The sequence below is a fragment of the Homo sapiens genome, chromosome 11, assembly GCF_000001405.40.
Source record: "Homo sapiens chromosome 11, GRCh38.p14 Primary Assembly".
Classification (NCBI taxonomy): Eukaryota; Metazoa; Chordata; class Mammalia; order Primates; family Hominidae; genus Homo; species Homo sapiens.
Window position 1 is genome coordinate 117,493,414 of NC_000011.10, and position 27,115 is coordinate 117,520,528.

The 27,115-nt window shown below is 53.6% G+C and overlaps 1 protein-coding gene across 6 annotated transcripts in view, besides 3 other annotated features; it reads right to left on the minus strand.

Annotated features, from left to right (window-relative positions):
• Positions 1–27,115, minus strand: part of DSCAML1 (DS cell adhesion molecule like 1) — a 389,743-nt gene that overhangs the window by 65,642 nt on the left and 296,986 nt on the right. For 4 of the 6 annotated variants that reach the window (XM_011542918.2, NM_020693.4, XM_011542917.3 and 1 more), the window contains 5 exons: positions 25,053–25,349; positions 23,054–23,326; positions 12,041–12,319; positions 11,511–11,630; positions 10,432–10,608 (listed from right to left, as the gene is read on the minus strand). In XM_011542918.2, coding sequence (XP_011541220.1) covers positions 10,432–10,608; positions 11,511–11,630; positions 12,041–12,319; positions 23,054–23,326; positions 25,053–25,349 — 1,146 coding nt within the window. Of the gene's footprint in view, positions 1–10,431; positions 10,609–11,510; positions 11,631–12,040; positions 12,320–23,053; positions 23,327–24,961; positions 25,350–25,664; positions 25,733–27,115 lie in introns of those variants that run through there. The other 2 variants (XM_011542919.2, NM_001367905.1) reach the window with 2 other exon arrangements.
• Positions 1,541–2,042: an enhancer, noted in NCBI's record as "H3K4me1 hESC enhancer chr11:117365669-117366170 (GRCh37/hg19 assembly coordinates)". NCBI's record gives its function as "activates a minimal SCP1, AML or CMV promoter by ChIP-STARR-seq in naive H9 embryonic stem cells {active_cell/tissue: H9 hESC(naive)}" and the evidence as "EXISTENCE:reporter gene assay evidence [ECO:0000049][PMID:30033119]".
• Positions 18,007–18,990: an enhancer, noted in NCBI's record as "H3K4me1 hESC enhancer chr11:117382135-117383118 (GRCh37/hg19 assembly coordinates)". NCBI's record gives its function as "activates a minimal SCP1, AML or CMV promoter by ChIP-STARR-seq in naive H9 embryonic stem cells {active_cell/tissue: H9 hESC(naive)}" and the evidence as "EXISTENCE:reporter gene assay evidence [ECO:0000049][PMID:30033119]".
• Positions 21,743–22,342: an enhancer, noted in NCBI's record as "H3K4me1 hESC enhancer chr11:117385871-117386470 (GRCh37/hg19 assembly coordinates)". NCBI's record gives its function as "activates a minimal SCP1, AML or CMV promoter by ChIP-STARR-seq in naive H9 embryonic stem cells {active_cell/tissue: H9 hESC(naive)}" and the evidence as "EXISTENCE:reporter gene assay evidence [ECO:0000049][PMID:30033119]".

The following is a 27,115-nucleotide window of genomic DNA, read 5'->3' on the forward strand; positions in this document are numbered from 1 at the left end:
TCAAGTGATTTCCCTGCCTCAGCCTCCTTAGTAGCTGGGACTACAGGGGTGCGCCATCATGCCCAGCTAATTTTTTGTATTTAGTAGAGATGGGGTTTCACCATGTTGGCCAGGGTGGTCTCCATCTCCTGACCTCGTGATCTGCCCACCTTGGCCTCCCAAAGTGCTGGGATTACAGGCATGAGCCACCGCACCAGGCCTGGTCCTCTACTTTTTATTTATTTATTTTTTTGAGACAAGGTCTCACTCTGTTACCCAGGCTGGAGTGCAGTGGCATGATGATGGCTCACTGCAGCCTCAATCTCCCAGGTTCAAGTGATCCTCCTGCCTCAGCCTCCTCAGTAGCTGGGACTATAGGTGTGTGCCACCATGCCCGGTTAATTTTTGTATTTTTTGTAGAGATGGGATTTCGCCCGATTGCCCAGGCTAGTCTTGAACTCCTGGGCTCAAGCAATTCGCCCCCCTCTCCCTCCCAGAATGGTGGGATTACAGGTGTGAGCCACTGTGCCTGGCCTGGTCTTCTACTTTCCCAAGAATGTTGGAAAAATGATAGTAATAATAATAGCTAACATTTATTGAAAGCTTATTATGTGCACGCACCATGGCTAATGCTGTACATGAATTATCTCATTAACCCTCACTTCTCCAAACACAGCCCTAAGATGTGGGTAGTATTTTTTATTTCCATTTTAGACATGAGAAAAATGACTCTGAACATCAGAATCCTTTCAGAAACAGAAGGAGATGCCATCTTCCTTTGATCACTTGGAAGGTACTTCCAGGTCATTGCTGTGAATACCCTAGAGCTGTAAAGGGCCTGAAGTAAATATTTTAGGCTTTGTGGGCCATAGGTCTCCGTTGCAAGGACTCCACTCTGCTGTTGTACCTGGAAGCAGCCACAGACAACACAACATACAGAACGGGTGTGGCTGGCTTCCAGTTACATAGACCACTGGCCAGATATGAGACCCGGTTACTGAACCCTGCCCTGAGATTTTGTGCACAGGAGTGTTGGGCTTTTAGACTTGACCTAGAGGGATTTTTTGGCTAGGAAACTATTTTGCATTCAGATAGCAGCAGTTATAGGATGCAGGGAGGGAGAGCATGTCAGTTTCAGATGCTGGAAAGCATGGAGTTGTCAATAACAGATCACCGGCTGGGCATGGGATTGTTGTGGGTTGAATTGTGTCCCCAAAAGATATGTTGAAGTCCTCACCCCTGGTACCTGTGAACGGGGACTTACTTGGAAATAAGGTCTTTGCAGATGTAATCAAGATGTAAGTTAAGATGAGGTCATACCAGAGTAAGGTGAGCCCTTAATCCAATAGGACTTGTGTCCTCATAAGACGAGAAGAGACCCACATAGAGGGAAGAGGATGTGAAGCCACAGGAAGAGAAGGCCATGTGGTGATGGAGGCAGAGACTGGAGTGATGTGTCTACAGTGCGAGCAACATCAAGGACTGCTGGCAACCACCAGAAGAGGCAAAGAAGCCTTCTTGCCTTTCAAGCGCACATGGGCCTGCCAATACCTTGATGTCAGACTCCCAGCCTCCCAGAACTGTGACAGAATAAGTTCCTGTTGTTTCAGGCCATGCAGCTTATGGTACTTTGTGACAGCAGCCACTGGAAACTAACGCAGGGATCCAGTGTGTGATAAGACCTTCTCAGTGCAGAGTGCCCAGGGATGGTAGCCAAGCCTCTGCCCCATGGAGCTGGGCCAGGGTAGGGGGGCTTCCTAGGTGCCAGGTTGGCTTCACATTCCCTGCTTTATGGGGAGTGCACCCCCTGTTATGCTCCCAGCCCCAAAGGCCCCAGCTGGCGGTAGGCAGGCAGGTGCAGGAGTGTGCAAAGACCAAGCCCATCTTGCCCCTGATATCCTCCCCAGCACCTGGCTCAAGCTCTTTGCTGTGTAATGGATGAACAGTGCCAGGGCTGAATGCAAGCAAACACAGACAGGAGAAGATGCTCTTTAGAACTGAATCCTGCCACGTCTAGAGTCTCTGTGGACTTGAGAGGCCCAGAGGACTAGGCAGGGAGGGGTGGGTGGAGGCTCAGGCTTCTAGGCGAATCTGCACTCAGCCCCCAGTCTCATTGCTTTCTGGCTCAGGACAGGACACCTGCCAATCACACGAGTCATGAGTCACTTTAGCGGGGGGCAGGGGGTGGGAGCCTTAGGCTTGCCTGGTCTAGCACACAGCTCTAGGGAGGATCCTGGCAGAGTGTCAGCCAGCATCCGGCTGCTCAGGGCACCCCCTGTCACCTCCACTTTGACACAGTCACAGTGAACATGCCACCCCTCCGTTCCCATCTACTCCATTTCTATTGGTGGGACCATCATCCTCATCTCTCAGCCTGGAGCCCTAGATTCTCCCAGCTCCTCTGTCCCATTCATCAAAGCCTGGTATTTGTTCCTTCAGAATGACTCTTAGAGTTCCGTTTTCTCTCCATTCCATGCTCAAGATCTTAATATCATTCCTATCATCTAGTGCATCATGTCCAGACTTCAGAACCATACTTCCCATTCCTCTAGTCTCCAGCAGCCTCCGTCTGGTCAGGTGAGCGCCTCATTGCCTGCCTGGGCTTCCTGCCCCCAGGGTCTTTGCTCATGCTCCTCCTTCCACCTGGATGCCTCCTTTCTTCCTTTGCCCTTCCAAACCCAATCAAGCCCATCCCTCCGGGAAGCTCCATCTGACCACGTCTGTCCACCTTGGGTTTTTCCTTCTCTAACCTCACATCACACTTCCAGTGCCAAACATTTTAGCACGTGATCTTGTCTTGTTTCCTGAAGGTCAGTTCCAGCTTCCTAACGAGTCTGTATGTTCCTGGAGGGCAGGGAGGGTGCTTCAATCTTGCCTTTCTCTCTGTTAGTCTTTGTCACCAGGCTGGACACCCGGGGGCTGCTCAGGAAGCACCTGGTTATTACTTGGCTCATCCAACAATTTATTCTGGCCCCACCATTCAGAGGGGCTTCAACTGTCATTGGGGGAGCAATTCTGGGCTGCCCACTTAGGGCAGGGCTTGGAGGCACTGCTAAGCTCTGTGCCTGCCTGCATTTTCTTATCTATTAAGTAGAGCTGCCCCATGATAACCTTGACTCTCTTTTGTCTCGGAGCATTTCCTGGCACCTTCACCTTAACTGACATACAGGATACACACAATTTTGTGATTCATCTGGTCTCTGCCCTTTATGGTACCTTGGAGCTCAGATCCATCTGGAAACTCTTCAGTGCTGTGGTCATGGGGACTGCAGGGATGAGAGTGAAGTGGTGGTGATGTGCTTTTTGCCACCACTGGCTAAGGCCTCTAAGAAGGAGGTAAGAGCCCAGATGAGACCCTTAGGGACAAGCACTTTTAAACTGGAACCGGAGGATGCATGGGCAGGTTCATCCCTCCTATCCCTTTAATAAAACCTCCCTGCTTGTCAGGGGACCAGGGCGAGGATGGAGATTGTTCCACATGGAGACTGTTCTATTCGACCTTGAAACTTTTGTACAAACGTCCACTTTGGGGTTAGGTTTGGGATGCGATGTGATTGCTCCAGTGATACTGTTGGCATTGGGAGGTCAGTAAGATCTCCCATGTTTCGTTGGTTCAGGCTTATCTTCATCTTTCCTATAGCTCCCTGAAGCACAAAAGCCTACAGCTTCTGAATGCTGGGGCCTGGAACTGGCGACACATGCCCTCGAGTCTCCACTGGCACAACAGAACGCAACCCACTTGTTGAGCTCTAGTCATGCCTTAGTGGGTGAGGGAAAGGGACAGGAGGATGGTGACCCCTCTGAATAGAGGAGCAAACTGAGTCCCTGGGAGAAGGACTATGCCCAGTTTACCCAGGGCATAGCGAGGAGCACTGGGACATGAACAAGGATCAGAACCTTTCTGTCCCCTAAATGAACCACTTGTTTTGGCCTCCCTGGGCTCTGCAGAGGGTGGGGAGAGCCTGCAGCTGGCTCAGGGCTGCAGACCTCCTGGCGAGGGCCCAAGGAGGTTTACTGACTCCTTGCTCCTCTGAGAATGGGGGCTGCGGCGGGGAGCCTGGCCTGATGAGAGGAAGTGTCCAGCCTTTCTCCTCACCTCTGTTTGATGAAGCAGGAGTCAGAGTGTTGCTCCTTATTCTGTGAAGTCTCAAAATCAATGAGGCCAAAGAGACAGCCGGATGATCATTGCCATGGAAATCATCACAATGGCTCATTCTCTCTTCCCTTCCCTCCCTCCTTCCCTCCAGCAGCGGTGGAGGTGGGGGTGGGCACTGGGCCCCAGGTTTCCAGAGGGGACTCCCTAGCTTGGCATGGGCCAGGGTGGGGCCCTTTCTGCCACCTGGAGGCTGGGCAGGTGAGGCCGACTATGATCATTACCTGGCTGGAGAGAGCAGGTGATGGCTCCCAAATCCCACAGCTGTGGCAGGGCCAAGCACCAGGCCCAGGCCAGCGTAACTCAGCACCCAGGCCTCAGCCCTTGAGTGCTGCCCCGCCTCCTCCCCCTGCTGCTTGCAGATGCAGCAGAGAGTCCATCCCGTCCCCCACTCGCCCAATCAGGGGGACTCACAAGGGGAGAAGGGAAGAGCAGAGGGGGTGACCTGTGAGCCCGGATGGGATTGGACCAGACCTGTGGACTAGAGGTCCGTCAGCCAGTCCAGATTCCAGAGTGGGCAAAGGCCTGTGCTGAGCTGGGTGCCAGAAGTGAGAGTTCCCACCCAGGGAGGCGAAGACCAGCCCCAGCCCCCAAGGAGCTTCAGTCTGTGACGAGATAGGACCCACCACCGGGGAACACACAGGAATATCTTGGGCCAGTTGTTTGCCCTCTCTGGGGCCTCAGTTTGTCACCTGTGCTGAGAGGGGCCTTGTGAGTATAGTGTGTGGACACCCAATCCATGTGCCCAGGCTCCACTTACATGCTCTGCCAACAGCCGTCCCTCAGCTCTAGGGGTCACGGCGGTGGCAGGGCCCATCCGTGGGAGGACAGTCTGTGGAGGAGCCCTCGGGAGGTCCTGGAAGCAGGGAATTCCCTGGGTACCTGGACTGTGGTCTAGAAAGGGATTTGTGGGCTCTGAGCAGCCATTTTCTCAGGCTCATAGACTCCTTGCCCTGTGGAAGGGGTGGGGGCCCCAGTCCCCCAGGTCTCAGGGAGGTGCTGCTTCTGTTTGACAAGAAGGAGTTTCCTTTGGGCAAATTTGAAATGAGGACCATCTTGGATCTCCAGACGCACTTTTCCAAAGTTTTGCATCCTGACCTCAGTCCCAGTGGCCAATCATGGTGGGTGACCTGGTCCACGGAGGCCCGAGGGCTTCCTTTGCTAGGCCCGCCCCCTCCATTTCTCAAGTCCCCACGAGAGTTTGGCCCCAAGCTCCCCGCTCCTGATGTTGTGGCTGCGCAGCTGGGTGTGTGCTCGCTGAGGGCACTGGGACCTTATTTTAATTGGTCTGACATTTTGCTAAACAAATAAATCAAAACTCAGACCAAACAAAGAGCCCTTATGGGTTTAATTGGCCATGGGCTTTGTCTAGAACCCAATCACTGGTGCCTTCGCAGAGTGGAAGAGAGTCTGGGAGGTCCAACGAGACCTGTCTAATAAGGTCACCTGCTGGATAAGAGGATGGCCGAGTCCCAGGAGGGCACTGCCATTCGATGGCTGCCTCAAAACACAGCCAGCCTTCTTATGCCTGGGACTAGGCAGCTTGGCTTTGTACCTGCCTCTCGTTGAAGAATTCTCTTTGAAGATGCTTTATTTTTTCCCCATGTGTCAGTTGAAGGGGGAATGACCTCCTCCTCCTTTTGGTCATTATCTCCCTTCCTTTTTTTAAAAATACATTTTAAAAGGGAAATAAAAGGCAGCTCTGTGGACGTGGTATTTTCTTCTGTTAACTAAATTTATTTTCAACCAAGTTCTGGGAGGTGGTCTGGTGTCTTGAAAAGACTACCCGTGCTGCTACAGTCACAGCTAGTCTGAGCTGGAAGGGAACTGGGGTCATCTAGTGACTAGATCTTAGTTCAGGCCTCTCACTGTATGGATGAGGAAACAGGCCCAGAGAAAGGAAGGGACAACTCACGGATGCAGAGCCACTGGGTCTGAGCCAGGACTAGCACCCAGCCTTTTTACTCTGTGATCCTTCTACCAAACCATCAGTCCGTAGAAGCAGGTTCTGGCCTCAGCTGGGACTATACTTAAACCAATGACCTTGATCTAATCTCTGACGTTCTGAGAGGGAGCTATTGCCTACCAACCTCACAAGCAAGGTATGGGAACGGCTTTGTAAACTGTAAAATGCTGTACATGCAGGCGGCGATGCTGGACTGTGTGCTTAGGCACTCGTGAGTTCAACCCACACCAAGACTCAGGGAGGAGTGGGGACCACTTGGGCCTGGTTGGTTGCCATCAAAGATGTCCAAGGACTTGGAAAACCACTTGCCTGCTCTAATAAGCCCTTAGCTCCCTGTGGTCCTGAAAAGGGTTCCGCATAGCAGTTCTCCAAGAACTAGCTTGGGAATTCCGACTCCCATCCAGACCCTCGGACTCCTGGAACTCTTGTTTGAAGCTTAGTGTCAAGAGTCAACTCTACATAGAAAGAAAACATTTAGCTTCCAAAGGCCATAGCATCTCACATTTCATTCTCCCTGTCACTCTCTGCCAGACACCCTGAGTTTCCTCAACATAGGACAGTCACAGGCCTTCCTGTCTCCACACTGTGCTGTTTCTGCATCCCTGGAAGGGCGTGAACTTCATCCCTGCTGGCCCTTGTCCAAATACTTCTCATCCTTCAAGCCCTAATTAGAGACTATTGCTTTTGTGAAGCTTTTCTTGACACGTGCTTCTTCACCCCCAGAGTTAAAATTGATGACTCTATCTCAGATTCTTTCTGTATCACCTTGTTTGTAGCTTTTTAAGGCATTTATCATTTTGTGTATCATAGTTGTTTTGGGTGTCTGTCTATTTCCTCTTCAAGATTCTAAATTCCCTGAGAACGGCAGCTCTGTCTGACTCATCACCAGGTTTCTAGCACCTAAAACTAATGACTGCTAGTTATCGAATGTGTATTTTGTGCCAAATACTGTATTAATTGCTGTAAGTGCATGGTCTCCTTTAGACCTTACCAACGCACAAAGTACTACACAGTAATTCCAAACTTACCGGGGAGGACATTGGGGTGACAGAGATTGTTGTCCTGGACCTCACAGCTATCCAGTGGCAGAGCTGGGCTTTGAACCCAGGGCTGCCTGGCTCTAAAGTCTGTGCTTTTAATCACCACACTTTATTGACCTATTTAGTGAGTGCTCAGGGAGCACCATTAAGTGAGTGCTGAGTTATCACTGGAAGCTGCAGGGATCAATGGTATAGACACTCCCCATTAGAAGCCAACCACAAACGTCCAATCTGACACTTGGAGGCTTTCTCTGCTATTATATTCCCTTTGATAGATTTATTTTCTTTCTTCTGCTTGGGCAAAGTGGGGATTAAGATCAGTTTGCTTTCTGAGAGTTCATGAAAGTGTGAGTTCTGGAAAGGTAAAGTTATTTTGGGTCAAAACTTTCCCGAGTGTATTAGGGGCATTGAGGCAAACCTTGAATTGGCTTTGCAAATGGTAGATCTTTCTGTGGCTGGCTCTGCAAGTGGGCGATGATGTGGGCGTTTGAGATGGACTGAGGGATGACGAGGAATGGTTTCTCCTGCTGAGGGCATGGGTAACCAGGTCCCGAAGGTTCTACCTACCTGTGCCCTTTAAACTGAAATCAGAATGGGGGAGTGGGAGAATTGCTATCAGGTTGAGGAAAAGCAAAGGAGGGAAAGAAAAGAGCAGGCAAGGAGAGAGGCTGTGCAGGGCAGTAGCTGGGGCGGGGGGTTACTTGGAACAGGCACCTGCCTCGAAGCAGCAGGAGGCAGAACAAATATTCCAAAGAAGGCCAGGTGCACCAGCAGTCCACCCAGTGCCCACTTCCACCCCGCCCCCCGACAGTGTTGCCTTGTCACAGCAGTGTCCTCTGGCAGCCAGATACAGTGCAGATTCACGCAGGCTGCTACACAAAGACAGTCAGCTCCTCCAACCCCAGACAGAGGCCCTGCCCCTGCCAGCCTCCATGACTGCTGCCCTGGAGCCTTCGATGTCCTTGGCCCTGCCTCTTCCCCTCCTGCTGGATTCTGGGTGGCATGAGGGCCTCTGGGATGGCTGGGGCAGGTCACTGGGGAGAGTGGGGCCGGAATGGGAGGGGACATTTGTGACAGGAGGGGTGTGAGAAACGGAGGATGTGTGAGAGGGAGTGTGTGTGTGGCAAGGCTGGAGAGCAGCCCATCTGAGAGCCACGCAGGAGCCATGAGTGGGTGTTGAGAGGTTCTGAGGGTGATCAGAGGTGCCCTGAGCGGGATGACGTGACCCCGAGGTGTGGAGAGACAGCAGCTGTGTAAGAAAGGTGTGTCGCTAGCCCTACCAGGAGAGAACTGAAGTAAGACACCGAGGCCTGCAGATGAGGACATGGGGGAGGAAAGGAAGGAGGAAGCCAGGTCCAGGTTCTGCCCAGCAGTGACTGGCATAGTGGGAAACTCCTGCCATTCCCTTGGGAAGATGGGGCCCCATAGGTGAGCCCCAGCGTGTGTGTGGTGCGTGAGGTTTTGTGCAGCATGTGTTCAGGAGGTGGCCCTGGATTTACCAAATATGCTCCTTCTGAACCCCTCAGAGCACTTTGCAGTTGCTGCTGGGTTGCCAAGTGAGGATGGCATAGGAAAAGTACAGGCCCGCCAGGGGAAGTGGTTTGCTCCAGGGCCCAGGGCATCAGTGACAGCCTGAGGCACGTGGGGTCCCCTCACACACAGCCCAGCTCCTGACCGCTGTGTCCTCCGGCACCCGCGACCCCTGCATCTCCATGGAACAACTACTTGCCACAGAGCCGGCAGCTCAGCGGAATCCCCCAACTTAAAGGAAAAGGCAAAGAACAACAACAGCGAAAAAGCATCTACGAGTTTGGGAGATGAGGAGGGTTGCAGAGGTGCCTGCTCTTCCCCCGCCTCGCGCAGCCAGAATTAGCCAAGCTCTCCCAAGCTGAGGGATGTAGATTGATTGCCTGGTTTTATTAAGGACAAAGTGCTTTTTGATAGTGTGAGGGAAGTGGCTCCCCAGGGCGGGGATTCCGGCTCGGAGCTCCCTGAGCATCGATCGCTGGGGCTTCCCTGTCTTATGCTGAGCTGAACGCGGGCTTTGGCAAGTGATAAAGAAGCTATGATTCTTAAAGGTGGGAACTCTGGGGAGAGGCTGGGCAGACCACACACGGGGCTATGCTATCAGCAGGCTTTCCCACCTGCACCCTGGAGGGACTGCCACTACACATAACAAAGCTGGCCAGGTCATGAAATCTTTGCTGGCCACTTACCATACCGGTTGCTTCACTTACACCATCTGACTCGCTCTTGACATGAAATGTAACGGGTAAGGCCCTATTACGAGCCCAACCCCCCGCTCATAGTGTAGATCAGGAAAATGAAGTAGCACGAGGCCAAGTATGCTCATCAAGGTCCCACGACAGTAAGTCCTGGCTCCCAGATTCATACTTGGCCGGGTCAGACGCTAACACTCAGGCCCTTATAGCCATGTCTTGACATGGGGCCAGATGGACGTGGCCCTTCTGATGTGATTCCCAGGAATCCATTATACAGACACCTGCAGCGTAAAGGGAGAGGCTCACCCAGTAGGGATATCTGTATGAGACTTAAGAAAATCCTGGGATAGCAAATAGGCAGTGTGCTTCTAGGGCCGTTGAGGCTGGCTCTGGGCAGGGGGATTTAGAAGCCGTGGGGGCAGCACCGAGTTGTAATGAGCTGCATTGGTCCTTGGGCTTTTCTGAAGCATCCTCCTCTTTCCAAGATCAGTTCCTGCAGGACTCACAACAATTTTGTGAGATCAGTGGGCTGGGAAGGGAACCCTCGTACAGGTGAGGAAACTGGAGCACAGGGAGGGGGAGTGACTCGCCCAAGGTCACTCAGCTCATCAGGCTGATCTGGAATTGGAACCCAGGTTTTCTGACCTATAGCCCCTTCTTCTACATTGTGTATATGCTATTTTCCTTTCTAAGCCACAAGCAGGTTGTACACAAGCAAGTGTATATTAAGTAGCAAAAATAAATGGTTTGATAGGATTATTCAGATCGAATCGCCAATCTACAGACCAAAGTAAACAGGATGCTACGTGATATTGCAGCAGAGCAAATCATGAGCTTATTGTGACCAGGGTGGGGTGAGTTGGGGCCTCTCAGGGTGAGGCCGCTGTTTTAGATGACAGTGCTTTTGAATGCCCCATCCAAGGGTCCCAAGGCCACCTCTCACTAGGAAGCCTTCCTGCCTCCCCTTCATAGATGAAACGACGGAGACTAAGAGAGTAGGCAGGGAGAGTGCAGAGCCGGGGCTTGGCTGTGATTTGGGGGTGCTAGGGGGCGTGTGGGGACAGGACTCACTCTTGACTGTGAGGAACATGGACTTGCTGATGTCGGTGCCTACGCCGTTGCTGGCCTGGCAGAGGTAGTAGCCGATGTCCTCTTCTAGGACGTGGCGGATCAGCAGCGAGCTGTTGGGCAGGATCTGGATGCGGCCAGTGAGGGGCACAGGGTGGTACTGCTGGGGGTTCCCGCTCCCTGGAAGGAGGCAGCTGTTAGGAGGGCTGAGTCTGCACTGGGGCATAAGCTGAGAGTGCCCCAGGAGTGGCCCTGACACCTCGCTCTTGCAGATCTAGGGCCATTTTGTAGCAGAGCTGCACCATCCCCAAAGTGCTGAGGCCACATGGCTCCTGGTGGGCAACAGGAAAGACCCCCCCACCAGAGGACTGGCCTTGCCCCAGCTCTGATGCAAGGAGATGGGGTTGGGAGTCTCAGCTCAATGCCCACTTTGACACTGGCATGGAGCTTCTTTGGGGTAAATTCCTTGGAGAGGAAGAAAGAGCTGTGTTTGGCCAGTTGGCTGCAGGTGGAGAGAAGATTGAGCCTTCAAATGGCAGTTGTCTGGTCTCAGGCAACCAGGCCTGGGAGAGAGGCCAGCATCCTCCAAGGGGGCCTTGTGGGCACCCCCTGTCCCTCCATTCCCCAGTGTCAGTCACGAATACAGTCTAGGATTGGGCCTCAGTCAGAAAGCAAAGGCATCCCTGGGATGAAATTGGGCTCCAAGAAGGACCCTGACCCCAGAAAAGGTTGACTGGTGAGAAGCAGGGGGCTTTGAGGCTCTGGGGCCCCAGGGGAGGGTGCGGTAGGGAAAGCAGGCATACACTGAGTTCTGGGGCGGAGATGGGAGAGGAGAGGTCGCGTCTGGGGGGACAAGAGGAAATACGGAGTCAGCATGATGGCTGTTCCTGGTCCACAGACCCCCGGGGGTGGCTGAGGATGACTCCAGGTGAGGTGTAGCCTGGGGTCCACTGGGGTGCAGACCAGAGGACTCCCATCCAGGGATAGGAGTTGCCTGCATGGAACAGGTTCAAATCCCACAGAGCATCCTCCGTTCCCCGTCCCTGCCCTTCTTGGAGATTCTGGCTGGGCCAGGGGCTTACCCTTGGCATGCTTCCACATGACCTTGGGTGGGGGGTAGCCGTCCACCGAGCAGTTGAGCACACCAGCTTTGCCGTAGATGCCATCCTGGTTGTTGGGTTGCACCACAAATCGAGGGGGCACTGCAGAAAGAGGGAAGGTAGGGAAACAGACCATTTTAGTCTCTGATGGGTCTCCTAGGGCTTCGAGCACCTTCTGTTTGAGGTCAGCCCTGCCCGGGCCATTATAAAGTTGGAAGCGGGCAGTTTCTGAAACCCAAGATGCTGAGAACTTTTGTTGAGTACTGGGTAGGGACTTGGGAGCTCTGAGTTCCAGTCCTGCCTTTGCCACTGACTAACTGAGCAAGTGTCTCTCTGCTCAGGGCTTCGGTTTCCTGCCCTGGAAAATAAGAGGTTTAGGCTCCAACAGGCCCTTCAAGATGCTGGAGCCCACCTTCCATGAGCCCGTGATTGGAACTGGAAATCTAGAGACTGCAGTAGCAGCAGGCAGAATGGGCTCCTCCCTCCCCTGAGGCTGGCCTGTCCCTGCTCACCACGCACGATGAGCTGGCGCTCCCGGCTCACGGTGGCGGCTGCGTTGCTGGCGATGCATGTATAGTTGCCGTTGTGCTTGAGGGAGACGCTAGAGATCTGCAGGGAGCTCATGAATTCCTTGCTCTCGATGGTCACGCCCGAGCCTGAGATGATCACCTGTCCGTCCTTCCTCCAGGTGATACGGATGGGCATGTCCCCCGAGGACACCACACAGGGAATGTAGAGCAGCTGGCCGATGGAGGCGGGTGGGAATTCGAAGGGCTGGATCAGAGGGGGCACTGGGAAGGCAAGCGGGTGCTGCCGTCAGGACCCTGTGCATTCTCACCTGGCCGCCAACGCCGCCTCACCTGCCTTACCTGGGGCTCTGGGTTGGGCCTTGAACAAAGATCCCCTGGGGCACTGCAGCCTTGTTCTCCTATGCATGCAGGGTCTCCTAATGATGCCTGGCTCCTGTCCCTCTGCCCGCCCAGGCTGGGACCCACTGTCTCTGTTCAGGGCCTTGACTGGCCTGGATTAACTCTGACCTTTTGATGTGTCCTGGAATTTGATTCATGCCTGCTGATCTCTGCTCACCTTTCCCTCCAGCTTCCCTGCTGCTCCTCGGCACCCCTGTACCCACCTTCTCATCCCAGTGATGCAGCTCACAGCTCTCTGGGGGCCTGGGATAGAGGTGAGGTGCCCGGTGGCAAGAGGGGAAGCGTGGTGCTGGGACTGTCCCCCATGCATGTCCTACGGCTGCTCATCTGAAACCAGAGCACTGAACTCTGGGTCTCCCACAGGGCCCTCAGCCACCTCACCCCTCTTTATTGTCATTGAGTGTCAGGACAGGCGAGTGGAAGCTCACATCACTGTTCAGTTGCTTTATACACATGATCTCACCAGATCCTCCTACCAATAATGTCCCCATTTTACAGATGAGAAAACTCAGGTTCAGAGCAGAAAAGAAATTGCCCTAGGTTGCCCAGTTCATAAGATATGACCATGGGATTTGAAACCCATGGTCTGCTCCTCAAGTCCAAGTGTCATCACCGTGTGGCTTGGTTGCCTCTCCAAGAAAGCCCCAGACATGCCCAGACAAGAGACAAGAGATAACTTTTTTTTTTTTTTTTTTTTTTTTTTTGAGACAAGGTTTTGCTCTGTCACCCAGGCGGGAGTACAGTGGCGTGAACATGGCTGACTGCAGCCTGGGCTCGAGTGATCCTCCCATCTCAGCCTCCCAAGTAGCTGGGAATGCAGGTATACACCACTGTGCCTGGCTAATTTTTAATTTTTTTTAAGAGACAGGTGTCATTATGTTGGCCAGGCTGGCCTCAAACTTCTGGTCTCAAGTGATCCTCCCACCTCAACATCGGAAAGTTCTGGGTTGACAGGCAAGAGCCACCACACCAGGTCCAGAGATCTTTTTGTCTTGTAGGTGAGCTTCCTTGGGTGGCAGGAAAGAGCAGAGAGGAAGCCCTGTCTTCTGCAGGACAACCAGTTGGTTAGATGCCTCTGGGCAAAGCACCATCCACCCAGCCTTCCTCCCGCTAGAAATGCAGCCTGCACCCCCCTGCCAACACTGCCTATGTCTCAGCCCCTGGATGGCCTGTCTGGAGCCTGAGTCGATGTGAGATGGATCCTCCTTTCTCGGCTCTGGCTAGAGCATCAGCCATTATCTTTATGATAACTCAATTAGGCTGCAGCGACTTCCCCAGCAAGTGGGGCAGAAGAGAGAAGGAGATAGACAATTAGCTTAACAAGGATGAGCACCCAATAGATGAGATCTCCTTTCTGCAGTCGAATAATTAAATTACAAGGCCATGCACAGTCCTCTAGCCTTCTCCCAGGCACCAGCCGCACCCCTCCCTGGAAGCCTGCTACTCTCTACCCTGGGCCCATCCAGAGTGGCCACAGTGGGGGATGGGCTCTGGGGGCAAAGACGGATGGCATCAGATGCATGGCCCTCCGCCCTCAGGGCACCCCTGCACTTTCAGGGCTCAAAAGGGAGCTGCCTGCAGGGAGCAGCCAGGTGTGGACACAGAAAAACCCAGGCAGCCCTTTGGATCCTGGGAGAGTTCTTGATCAGGAGCTCTAGGTCCAGAGGAAGTGATATTTAGGAGGGATGTGGCCTCTGTGACCGTCAGTAGGGCCCTCAGGTGACCCTTCCAATGTCATCTTCCACCTCGCGCTCACTCCAGCCTGTGCTCCCACCAGCATGCCGTGAATGCCACAGCCCCACACCTCAGCCTGCCCGAGTGAACACCACTGGGCATCTGTCCTTCTCATCCCCAAGCACATGGGCTCCTCACCTACCAGCTGGCTTTGATCCACCTTATTCCAGATCCACCTGGAACCTAAATCCCAGCCAGCTTTTCCGGGGTTCTGGTCATGGCCTGGACCACCTCATCCCAGTCTCTGGCGGCCTCTTTTCCTGGGTTGGGACTCTGCCCCCAGTATTCTGAGTGGTTTATCGGGCCTTAGACATCTTCAGATAGATTTCTCTGGAGCCCTGACTCTAGCAATGGCTCAATGCCCATTCCTGAGACCTCCCCGAGATCTCTCTTGTTGGGCCCCTGCTGACCCCCCTCCTAGTTGGTGTGTATCCCTAGGTCAGATCTAGGCCTCCCAGCTCCCTTGGGCTTTCTGATGGATTGTAGCAGAGACCCAGATGTGCCGCCCAGTTTGTTTCCTTAGGCCTAGAAGAACCAGTTCTGGCCAAGTCCTTCTCCTGCTCACAAAGGCCTCCTGGAAAACTCCCCTGGGAAACTCCCCTATATCCTTTCAGATCCTGCTCAAATGCTACCTCTTCTGTGAAGCCCACCTTCCTTCCACACAGCCCTGAAGCCTTCGGTCCACACCTGGATTAGGGCACGTATCACATGGCTGTCGGGGTAACTGCATTACCCCCTCCCTGGGGTAACTCCCTATATAAGTCCTTATATAACTAGGACTTATTCACCCAGCAAACTGTAGGTGCCCGATGAGTGCTTGTCGGGTGAGGAAATGCACAAACATACGTCTCAATATCATTTCCTAGGGTGACCTCAGAAGTTCACCTGCGAGAGGGCAGGGGGTACGGCAAGCACAGGATGGGGGCTCAGCTAGAATAAGAGGGGGGGTCTGTGCTGCTCCTCGAGATGCTTTGGGGTTCTGGAACCTTGGTCCCTTGGTCCCTCCTAGGGGCCAAGCCCTTGCTGTCACAGCACCGAACAAGCTGCTGTGATTTGAGAGCCCTGTGTACGCTTGAACACGAGCAAGGGGAGGGTGGAGGCAGTGATGAGGAGCTGGAGAACAGGATGTATGGGCAAAGCAAGGAGGTAGAAGGTTCTGCAGAGCCGAGAGAAAGCTAAGGGGCTGTGGAGTCTGGAGGGCCAAGCCCGGGCACAGACGGCCAGAACACCATGTTTCCATTGAGGCCAGAGCCAGTGGATAGAGACATAGTGAAATCAGGCAGGAAGGTTTAGTTCAGGCAAGAAGACTGTCTCTCTCAGTAAGGAGGAATTTAGATAATGGAGCAAGTTACTAAGGCAGGTTAATTCATTAATTAACTAATTCATCTAATATTTATGAAATGCTCCTCTGTGAAGGCATTATGCTCCGTGTGGGCTGGGGAAAGTAGAAACACACTTCAGCTACAGACGGAGCCTCGGGGAGCTTCTCGTTTACTAGGGAAGGCAAGATACTTCCCCAAAGATGATTAGACAAGGACCGCCTGGATATACAGATGCTGAGCTCAAGCAGAGGGCGATGCCATCGGCTGGGGGTGACTGCAGCTTCATGGAGGAGTGGAATTTGAGCTGAGAGTTAAAGGACACACATGCTTTCAAACAATACATGGGGTGAAGGAGACGGAGGAGGCTGAGCCAAGGGGCTGTCATTCCTTCTGGTCTTCTGAATAACATCAACAGCTCCGAGAGGCCACTGAAGAAGAAGTAGCCAACATCCATCCTGGGGAGTTAAACATGCAGCTGGGCTGGTCCCGCGCTCCCAGAGGGCTGTTGGGAGGCAGATGACCAGATGACCTCCCAGAGGCCCAAGGCAGGCTCCTCGCTCCTCTCCAACCCTGCTTCTGGGGGATGGGCAGGTGCGATGCATGGCTGGTACTCCAGGCTAGCCACTCACATCCGGTCAATACACACACCGGGCAGCCTGGAGGGGGAAGAGAGCCCAGGGATCATGGCTCCTCCACCAGCTCATTCGGTACTAGGAGTGCTGTGAGTGGGGTCTCCAAAGCAGGGTGGGGACTCCTCCATATATGTACATGGCTGTCCAAATGGGGCTTGCCTTCTGACCTGTGAGTCAGCGGCGCCCTCTCCAGTGCTCAGGGCTAGTAGCTGCATGTGTGCCTGGCCATTTCCATTTCTGGGAAAGCCATCCTCCCGGAGGTGGGGTCTGACCCCCTGCACCCTGGTGATGACCTGGGCCCTCTTTACTGTGGAGTCCAGCCTACAGATCTGCCCCCGAGTCCCAGCGTGTCCCTAGCAGGCAGCTGGATGTAGGGGGCATGAATGCCTCACAACCCAGGGCTTTCTCCCCAGAAGCCCTGCTCTGGCCACAGTCATCTTTAGCAAGGTGCTGCAATGGTGAAGAGGCAGAGGCCTGAGTGGCTGAGAAGACACAGTGGTCGAGGCAGGCCATTCAGTGTCCAGTCACCATAAAGCTTTTATGGCCACTTGTTTGGGAGTGCTGCACAGAGGAAGGCGTGCTGACCACCAGCCCAGCTCAGAAACATTTAATGGTGTCTCTCATCATCTCTCTTTGAGATGGAGCCTTTTATTTACTGCACCTGCTAGCAGAGTGTGCGCCGTGGGAAGTCTGGGCTTCTTTGCCCTTGCAGCACGGAGATGGGGCACTAGCCATGCCTGGAACCCAAAACACCCGGTTCCAGACTCTGCTACCCATTTAAGTGACTGTGGGCAAGGCACCTCCTCATCACCATCCAGTCTAACCTCAGTTTTCTCATCTGCAAAATGGAGCGGTTGAACCAACTAATCACTAAAGTCAGACACTGATTTTCTAGTTAAAACAAGTCCCATATTTTGGGAATAATGACAGCTGACTTAAGTTTTTACACAACCCTCTCTTCTCAGGAAGCCCATCCCAGATCGCCTTATTTGAAATTGCAAACCCCGTCTCCTTGGCACTCTCAGCCTCTCTCCTGTTTGACAGGAGACATCTCTGGGGTATTTACCGTAGGATCCCTTTCCTCACTAAAATGTAAACTCCCTGATGGCAGGGATTTTTGTCTATTTTGAGCATAGCTGTATTCATAGAACCTAAAATAGTGCCTGGAATCTAGTGGAGGCACAGTAGATGTCACTGAATGAATGACATTCGTGGTCATTATCCTCATCACCACTACCATCGTCATGAGCCCTGTCTGTCCCACGGGAGTTTGCTTCCTCCTTTGTTACTGGCTCCCTTGGCTGAGGAAGTAAGGTTGTTGGCAGTGGCTTCCTTGGTGTTCCTCCCCCAAATGGCATGCAGGCCATCTCCTCCTAGGGAGCCTGCTGTGCCCCTTTCCTGTGGATCCCAGTGAGGTTCCTCCCAAATCTCCACCTTCACCAGTAGCAGGCACTTGGCCAGGTGGCTGACTCTCCCTTAAGCTTATCATCATAGAAACCCCCAACCTACTCGTTAGGGTGGGAGAGGGTCTCTGGCACATGCTCCCAGGCATACGGCAGAGGCTGGGTGGAGCAGTGCTGAAGCTCAGCATTGAACAGCTAGGGAAAAATTAGGGAGGGAGGAGGGAACATGGGCATTTGGGAGAGAGGGTGTTTGTGTGTGGGTGAGTATGTCCCTCTTCCACTTGTCCTCCACAGAAGCCTGGCACCACCTCCCTGTCCTGGTCCTGCTGAGCATGGGCAGAAAGCACCTCTTGGCCTTGTTTTGGCTCAAGAAGCCCTCGGAAGCTCAGATGTAGGAATGGAGATGTTTCTTCACGGAGCCAATGCAAAGGGGCCCCAGTTGCAGCCCTGCCTTCCTAGTTAATTAAACATTCAGCCTGCATGCCCAGAGATGCTTTTGTGCTACATTATTTTTCAGCTACAGGTGGCCCTAAAGTCACCAAATCTAGGTTTGATCTGTGTGCTCTCCTCTTAGCATCCTGCCAAGGATTTCTCCGGATGACCAGAGACAAATACCAGCCATCCCTGCAGCCTGGCTCTCCACTGCCAGCCAGTGTCACATATGCCAAGGCACACACAGCCTTCAAAGCACCCTCCACCCTCTCTCCTCTCTGCTCCTCCCACTTTACTGGAACACAGCAGGCTCCCTTGGGCAATATTTCATATGGTCCCACCTGCAGCCACTTTTTGGGCTCAGGAATGTTGCCTTACGGGAGGGCCCTGGTGGACAACACACTTGCGTATGTGTAACTGCTGGCATGCATGTTTACGTATGTGTGCTCAAGTGTGAATGGGCTAATGTGTTAATTGGCTGCACGTGCATGCAATACGTACCAGGGTGCACACGCACGAGTGCTCACACACAGGTCTCTGCACACATGTGCAGGCATGTTGGGCGTGTGCTGCTGTTCGCAGCTTAGTGTTAGAAAAATTCGTTAGAAGACAAGCAGTCCCAGAAGGAATGGAGTCAGCAGTTGTTTTTCCGGCTCATGGAGCAGCATGGGTTTCAGCCCCACCCTGCCCACTGACCCTTGGCCCCACAGAGAGCTGGGGTGGGAGACTTCCAGTTTTATCTCACACTTCCGGTGCTCTGTCCCCACCATCCCTGCCCCCGCAACTTGCCCTTTTCTACTTTCTAGCTCTCTGCTCTGAACCTTGAGTGGGATGCACTTCCTAGTCGGGCAGCAGCAGTGGGGTCTGGAGAGCTGCCCCCAGGCCCACACCCTTCTCCCCCTCCAAGTCAGGGCCCCCGCCATGCCCACGGGCACCTCCTCCACCCCCCTCCTTGGGTAGTTCTTGGAACAGCGCATCCGCTAATCAAGCAGCGTGATCATAATCAGCTCTGATGGTTCTTCTGCAAAAGCGCATTCTAATGAGGTGGGAGAGGGAGTCAGGGAAAAAATGGGGATGAGGGGGCCTGAGCTTTTGGAGTGGTGGGGGCACGTCCCAGAGCCCCTCACACCCATGCTGCTTCTTGGTCCAGAGAGAAAACAGGTGACTACACCCGCCTCAGGGCTGGATTTCTGGGATTTTTTCAGACCCTGAGGGTGGGGAAGGGGGAAGGTGTGCATGCAAGCGTGTGTACACACACACACACACACACACACACACACACACACACACACATGCCTGCTATGCACAGCTTATGCTGGGTGCTGGGGACTCACACGTGGCCAAGGCATGGGCTCTGTCCTCTAGGATCACACACACACACACACACACACACACACACACACACACACCCCTCCCCTTCCCCCCACTTCCCTCCCTCTCCCTGGGCTGCAGAGACACTGTCGCTCAGCACCATCACAACAGGCCCAGCGAGTCGCCGAGACGGAATGCATCAGATTCAATTCATTAGGACTGATCACTCCCTGAATGGGGCTGAATAATTGATGAGCAGAAGCAGCTTTCAGGACGTTCCGAGTCCTCTGAGGCCCGCTGCACCCGTTATTATTTTTTTTAAGCCAACAAACCCGACCAAATGCTTGCCAGTGAGGGCTGGCGCAGGGAGTGGAGCAAAGGTTAGATGTTTTAATATGTGATGTTTACACTTAAACTCTCGGTCCACTGCTTGTAAGGGAAATGGATACAGGCGGCCCGGCCCGTGATGCTGCTTAAAGGAGGCAGGTTGAGCTGTGTACACAGCCACCAAGCTGATTTGTCCCAGATGACAGGGGCGGGGATGTGGGCTGGGGGTTGTTAGGTCCCTGGTGGTACGGCAAGGCCCCTGGGCTGGGCAGAGAAAGTGGCCAGGATGCCCTTCCACATGGCTCCCTCGCAACAGCAGGGAAATGGGTGTTTGGCTGTGAGGGTCTCCTCTCTCCTCCCAGACCTCAGATGGCCACGGTGAGGTTTCCTAGTAAGTTCTCAAAGTAGACTTTGACAGTCCACTTTCATCCGGGAGCGGTGGCTCATGCCTGTAATCCCAGCACTTTGGGAGGCCAAGGTGTGTGGATCACCTGAGGTCAGGAGTCCGAGACCAGCCTGACCAATATGGTGAAATCCCATCTCTACTAAAAATACAAAAATTAGCTGGGCGTGGTGGCGTGCGCCTGTAGTCCCAGCTACTCAGGAGGCTGAGACAGGAGAATTGCTTGAAACCAGGAGGAGGAGGTTGTAGTGAGCTGAGATCACGCCACTGCACTGCAACCTGGGTGACAGAGCAAGACTCTATCTCAAAAAAAAAAAAAAAAAAAAAGTCCATTTTCCTGGGCTCAAAGTGAGGTTTCCTAGTAAGTCACTCCAACTCAGCCTAATGTCTCAGTTTCAGTTCAAAGCACACACTGTCTGGCACTGTGATGGGTGTTGGGCACACAGGCTTGTGACTCGGCTCCTGTGCACTGATGGCAGGAGCTGGGGGAGAAGTCTCCACCCAGCCTTCCACTGCCACGTTCAGTCCTTCCAGCTGGCCACCAGGCCCTTCCACCGGATGTCCAGTGATATCACATGCTTGAGGGTCCTCCACAAACCCTTCCTCTTCCCATATGTCCCTCTTGCTGCCGATAGTGTGTGTGTTCCATGTTGCTTCCAGTCTTGGGCAAAGCAGCAGCCAGGGGGTCCCCAGGGCCTTCCCCCCATGCCAGAGCCCCTTCCCAGGCCTGGACCCCTCTTCTCTTTTTCTTCCTTCCATGGGCCTCCTGCTAGCTCTCCTCCCCTGGTCAACGCTATTCCTCCCTCTCTTCCCTTGGGGATACAAAGGGGGTTCTCCCCAGCTTCCCCTCCCCACTGCCCTGGGTTGTGACACAGATGCTCAGGAGAGGGAAGCCCCCAGGTGACAGGGCCCTCAGAGTTCTCAAGGACTCTTGTCTCTTCCACACCCTCCCTGGCAGTCCCAGAAGCTCTATGTCTTTATTCCTAAGGCAGAGCATGGAGCAAACGGTCCTCCCTCCAGCCTGTCCTTTCCCTGGCTCGGGGCCATTCTCGGTTGGAGCCCAGGTTCTGGAGTTATGCAGACCTGGGAAAGATTCTGACACCAGATGGCAATTTACTTAACTTTTCTTTTCTTTTTCTTTTTTTTTTTTTTTTTTTTTTTTTTTGAGATGGAGTTTCACTCTTGTTGCCTAGGCTGGAGTGCAATGGCACGATCTAAGCTCACTGCAACCTCCACCTCCCAGGTTCAAGTTATTCTCCTGCTTCTGCCTCCCAAGTAGCTGGTATTACAGGCATGTGCCACCACGCTCTGCTAATTTTGTATTTTTACTAGAGACAGGGTTTCTCCACATTGGTCAGGCTGGTCTCAAACTCCTGACCTCAGGTGATCCGCCTACCTCGGCTTCCCAAAGTGCTGGGATTACAGGCGTGGGCCACTGCACCCGGCCTTTCTTAACTTTTCTATGCCTCCACTTTCTGCCCCGAAAACTGGGGAGGAAATGTTACCTGCCTTAGCTGAGTGGGCAGCTGTGGGGTCGAAGATGGCACTGCACGTGGAGCATGGAGCAATGTGAGAGGCACACAGTGCGCCTGCCGCAGTGACAGTGGCAGATCATTATAACCATCGCAGCCTGCTGCGATAGCCCAGGATGGTGGCTGGAGACCCCCAGACCTCCCTTCCTCCCAGGCGGAGCCCCAGGCTGAGGTCTTCATGCTTCTGTAGCCTCAGGCTGCAGAGGACAGCCTGTCCACTTATCCTCCCCAGGCCTGAGCCCATCCTGGCTCTTCACGAAGAGACATAAGCTCTTCAGCCATCACAGCCGTGGCTGACTCAGTACCCAACCCCTGTAGCCTGGTTTTCACAGGCTTCTCCTTAGTCAAGCCTGGGGGTATCCACCTCCCCAGCCTGGCCCCAGAGAAACCAGGCCACCCTCCTGTCACACACCATCCAGACAGTCTCCAGGTCTGTCAGTCCCAAAGAATGTATTTGGGGGTTTCGAAGACCTTCGCAGCCCCAGAACCAAGGAGACATTGTCATTGACTCACATGCTCATGTATTTGAACATTTATATTCACTCATTCATTTGATCCACAGACTTAGTGAGCGGCTACCCAGGACCAGGCATGAAACAAAGACCTCACCCAGGTGGATGTCAAGGGCCCAGGAGGGACGAAGCTTTTTTTTTTTTTTTTTTTTTTTTTTGAGACAGAGTTTCAACTCTTGTTGCCCAGGCTGGAGTGCAATGGCTCAATCTCGGCTCACTGCAACCTCTGCCTCCCAGGTTCAAGCAATTATCCTGCCTCAGCCTCCCAAGTAGCTGGGATTACAGGCACCTACCACCACGCCCGGCTAATTTTTGAATTTTTAGTAGAGACGGGGTTTCATCATTTGGGCCAGGCTGGTCTCAAACTCCTGACCTCATGATCCACCCGCCTCGGCCTCCCAAAGTGCTGGGATTACAACGTGAGCCACTGTGCCCGGCCTGAGGGAGGAGGCTTTTAAGCACCACACAGCACTTTCCAGGCCTCAAGCAGTACTAGCAGGTGGAAGGGTGTTCCCAGTCCTGTAGAAGCAGCCTGGGTACTGTGTATCCCACAGGGGGTCAGGGCTCCCAGCGTGCTCTGTCAACCCTGGCCTCCTGTTGCTTGTGGCCTCCTTGTGTGGGCCCGCTGAGCTCCTGGGGGCTCCATCCCAACAGCAGAGGCCCCATGCAGCCCATCTCTGACCTGGCCTCTCTCCCAGAAGGCAGCCTGCCTCCTTTATCTGTAACTCACCCTCTCATGCACCTGGGGTGTGTGCTGTCTTATTCTGCAGCCCGAGGAGGACCCCGGATGTAGAGGAGCTCATGGCCTGCGTCCACCCACAGTCTTCTGCCCTGCTCCCTTTTTTCTGAATGCCAAGCTGGGGCCTCTCTTGCTCAGCCTTCCGTTCACCCAGGATTGCCTATTGTTGTCTGAGTCCCAGCTGGGGAAAGGCCCACGCATCCTGGGTGGTCAGGCGGGCAGGGGCCCTGGCTGGTGAGGGAGGCCTACCTTTGACGGCTACGTGAACGCTCTGGCTGATGGAGAGCTGGGGCTGGATGAGGACACTGCACAGGTACTCCCCCTCATCCATGCCCTTCTGCACGTCAGTCAGCTTGAGGGTCCCATTCTCAAACACCACCTGGCGGTGGTTGTCTGGCAGCAGCAGGGCATCCTTGTACCACTTGATGGAGTAGTAGGGATAGCCGATGACCCTGCAGTTGATAAGGGTGTCCCGCCCGGCGACTGCTGTGATGTTCCGCATAGCCCGGATGCTGGGTGGGCCTGGGCAGGAGTCAGAAGAGAGGAGGAGGAGGAGAAGGGCATGTGCTGCTGTCAGCCAGGGACAGCCAGGCACCACCCTGCGGTGCTCTTCTCAGGCACTCGGCCCCTGAGACTTTCGGGGGCGGACATTTGGTGGGGGCACAGGGATGCCTTTTTACAAAGCTACAGACAGGGGCTGGAATTGGGGGGTGCCCACAGTCTCTCCAGGACTCACTGTTACTAGCTTCAAAGAGTTGCAAACGGACGCAGTATATACATGCCTTGGCCAAGAGCCATTCCCCTCGTGGGACAGGGATAGGACCAAACTGCAGCCCCACCAAGAAGTGACTGGGATTTGGGAGGGCAAGTCCTCATTTATGGGGAGATTAAGATTTTGGGATTAAAGTGGAAAGGTAGAGATTTTGTTGTTTCCATTCTACTTGCTTATTTTGATCTCGTACCCAAAAGGAATTTAAGTTAATTACTTAAAAACAACAGGAAGGTCTTCGCCAGGTGAGCTGATGACTTTCGTTCAACAAGTAAATGTGTATTGTAGGCCCCTGGGAAGGAGCTGTGAAAGGGGCTCTGATAGTGCTGGCTGGGGAGAGAGAGTGTCCTGGGCTAGGCTTGCTGGGCAGATGGCAATCTAGGGGATGGAAAGGGAGTTCAGAGGCTACCAAGCAAGACAGTGCTCCACAGGGTACAAGGTACTCTCTGGGCCTCAGGTCCCCATCCAGAACATGAGGGGCCCAACTGGGAAATCTTCCAGGGCCCGACTGGGAAATCTTCCAGGGCCCTGCATCTCTGTCCCCCTTCCAATACAGAGGAGAGGGCAGGAGGGTGGCCAGATGGGAAACCCACACTTCTGTCAGGAGTCCAAGGCTTGGCACAGGCAAATTCAACATGAAACTCCACCTTTGCTCCTTTTCCTACCCCCACGGCAACCAGGGGTGCCCCTGGATCAGTGCCCCTTCCCTTCCTGCTGTCCCCCTGCTCCTCTGCCCTTGGGTCAGGGGTCAGCAGTAGGGTCAGATGAAGACCAGTCAGACCCCATCGGGCTACAAAGAGCTTCAGAGGAGACTGTGTTCTCACCACAGTGACTTGAAGAACTGAGATGTGGGGATGATGCCCTTGAGGACTCCTTTCCCCACTCTTGGAGGCTGCCTTCCTTGGGACACCCCCACCCAGCCTCAGCCTCTTACTCTTGATGGTGTGAGCCTTGCGGGAGAAGATGGTGCCCTGGCTCCTGGTTGCTTATACCTCCTGGAGCATTTTGGGGGCTGGCTCAGTGGGAGGACAGAGGGAGCACAGCTTGGGTGGGCAACCATGTTAAAGACCAAGCCTGGTCCCCAGCCCCTGCACTGTCTTGCCCTTACAAGGCCCTGGTGGGGCTGGCAGATACCAGCAGGTGTTTAGCATACTTGGGCCCCAGAGAGATTTGATGGGGAGGAATGGGCTAGAGGGTAAGAGAAGGGGCTGGGCTGGCTGGATTTCTGGACAGGAGGAAGGAGGAGGGGGAATGGGGAGGTGAATGAGGGTGAACTGTACCAGACACACACACGCACACAAGAATGGATGATGGCGCTTGAGGAGGGCAGGAAAAGGGGACGAGAGAGGGGAGAGAGACCTCTACTAAAATCAAAATGACGATTAATAATAAGTACTAATCAGCACAAGAATAATGGTAACCACAGAGATGGCAAAGGAACTCAAAAACCTATTCTGATATTTAAATGTAGACAGGCACCTCTTACGTTTATTCGCGCCTGATATTCAGCACTGCCCACCAAGTTCCGCGCTGTGCACCGGTACACGCCCCCGTCGCGGATCTGGGGGCCTGTGACGTTCATGTGGCTGATGGTGGTGCCGTCCGACATGGTGTACTGGTTGGTGCGGTGGCTGCCATCCCGCACGATGGGCTCATCGTCGAGGGCCCAGGTGACCGTGGGGGGCGGGGCGCCCTTGGCCGCACACATCAGTGAGAACTGCTCCCCGGGGTTGACCACCTTCTCGCTGAAGGACGAGACGATGCGGGGCGTGCCATCTGCAGGGAGCGAGAAGCCCCCTTCAGGGTCACCAAGCCATGGAGAGACGGTCCCCCCAGCCACCCCACCTCAGCAGGGGAGGAGGCAAAAAGCAGCCATAAGAGCAAACAAGAACTTTTGTGTACATCAATTCTTCTGCTATCCGCAACCCCAAGTGGTGCCAGTTACTGCTGTACATGGATTCAGGCTGTAGGGTTTGCATCCTCCCTCAATCACTTATTAGCTCTGGGTCTTTGGTCAAGTTGCTTAACCTCTCTGAGTCTTTTGTCTCATGGACGGAGGATGGGGATAATAGCAATCATGATTATACCCACCTCATGGATAGTCTGAGGATAAAATGAATTAATACATTTCAGAGGCTTCACACAGCGCTTTGTAATTTCTTGATAAATGCTGCTTCCTCTCAACTCTTCCTCTATTAATAAAGACACAAGCTCAGAAGTTAACTGCTTAGAACTACATATGGAACCGCCTGGCCCTGTGGAGTCTGATTCCAGTTCCCTCTGCGTGGGGCCTCAGGAGGGGGTGGTGGCGCTGCAACCCTGTTAGCACAAGGCCTTAAGTCTGAGGCTGAAAGTGCACAGAGGCGGTGGCAGTGAGGAGTCTTGGCCGGGGCTTAAGTCTTGGCTAACAGAATAACCTTGGACAAGACAATTAACCTCTGTGCCCTGGCTTCCTCACGTGGAACACGGGGATGTAATTATTAACCCTGGCCATCCTTCCGCACAGGATTGTTGAAAAGGATTAAAATAGGCATTAAGTACTTTAAAAGTAGGCCAGCCACGGTTGCTTATGCTTGTAATCTCAGCACTCTGGGAGGCTGAGATGGGAGGACTGCTTGAACCCAGGAGTTTGAGACCAGTCTGGGCAATGTAGGGAGACCATGTCTTTAGAAAAAATGTAAAAAAATAGCCAGGTGTGGTGGCACATGCCTGTAGTCCCAGCTACTCAGGAGCTGAGGCAGGAGGATTGCTTGAACTCAGGAGTTTGAGGCCGCAGTGAGCTATGATTGCATCACTGCACTCCAGCCTGGGCAACAGAGCAATGAGACCCGTCTCTAAGAAACAGAAACAAGAAACAAAAAGGAAGACAAATGTTTGTCTGGTCGGGGTGAGGAATGAGGGCTTAGGTTCCTGGGTGCCTCACACCTTCAAGGAGTGCAGACCCACAGGCTGTGACGAGGACACCTGGGGAGGATCCCATACCTGTGGGGCTTGCTTGGGTTTGGCTGGTATCTTTGTTACGACAAATCCTTAGAAGGAACAGAATTGTGTTGTGTTTGTTTTGGTGGCAATGAAGGAGGAGGTGGGGAACCATTAAACTTGTTTGTAAGGACAGGGTTTCTGCCAGCCCCCACTGCTCCTTTGTACAAATGAGAAAGTGGTGCCTCCTCTGTGTGGGCACAGCCCAGTGCCAGGGCTGATGGGTTGGCAAATGAGGTGCAGGCTGGATTTCAGTCCTCACCTACCCTCTTGGCTGGGCAACGTGTGCAGTGAACAACCTGAACAACCATACACAGAGGTGCTGGGTAAGGAACTCCGGGTGCTGGCAGCTTTAAAGGAGGAGATAGAGAAACAAACAAACAGGTAAAAACCCAGGATGCTGGTGAGACACAGAGCCTGCCTTGAAGAGGTCTCAGGCAGGGAGAGGAATTGCAAGTCTAGAGGTCACTGGCACTCTTCCAGCCTCTGAAGACTCCTCTAATACTGAAATTCTAGTAATTTCCAAGGGCAGAGACAGTAGAGTATGATGGTTAAGAGACCTG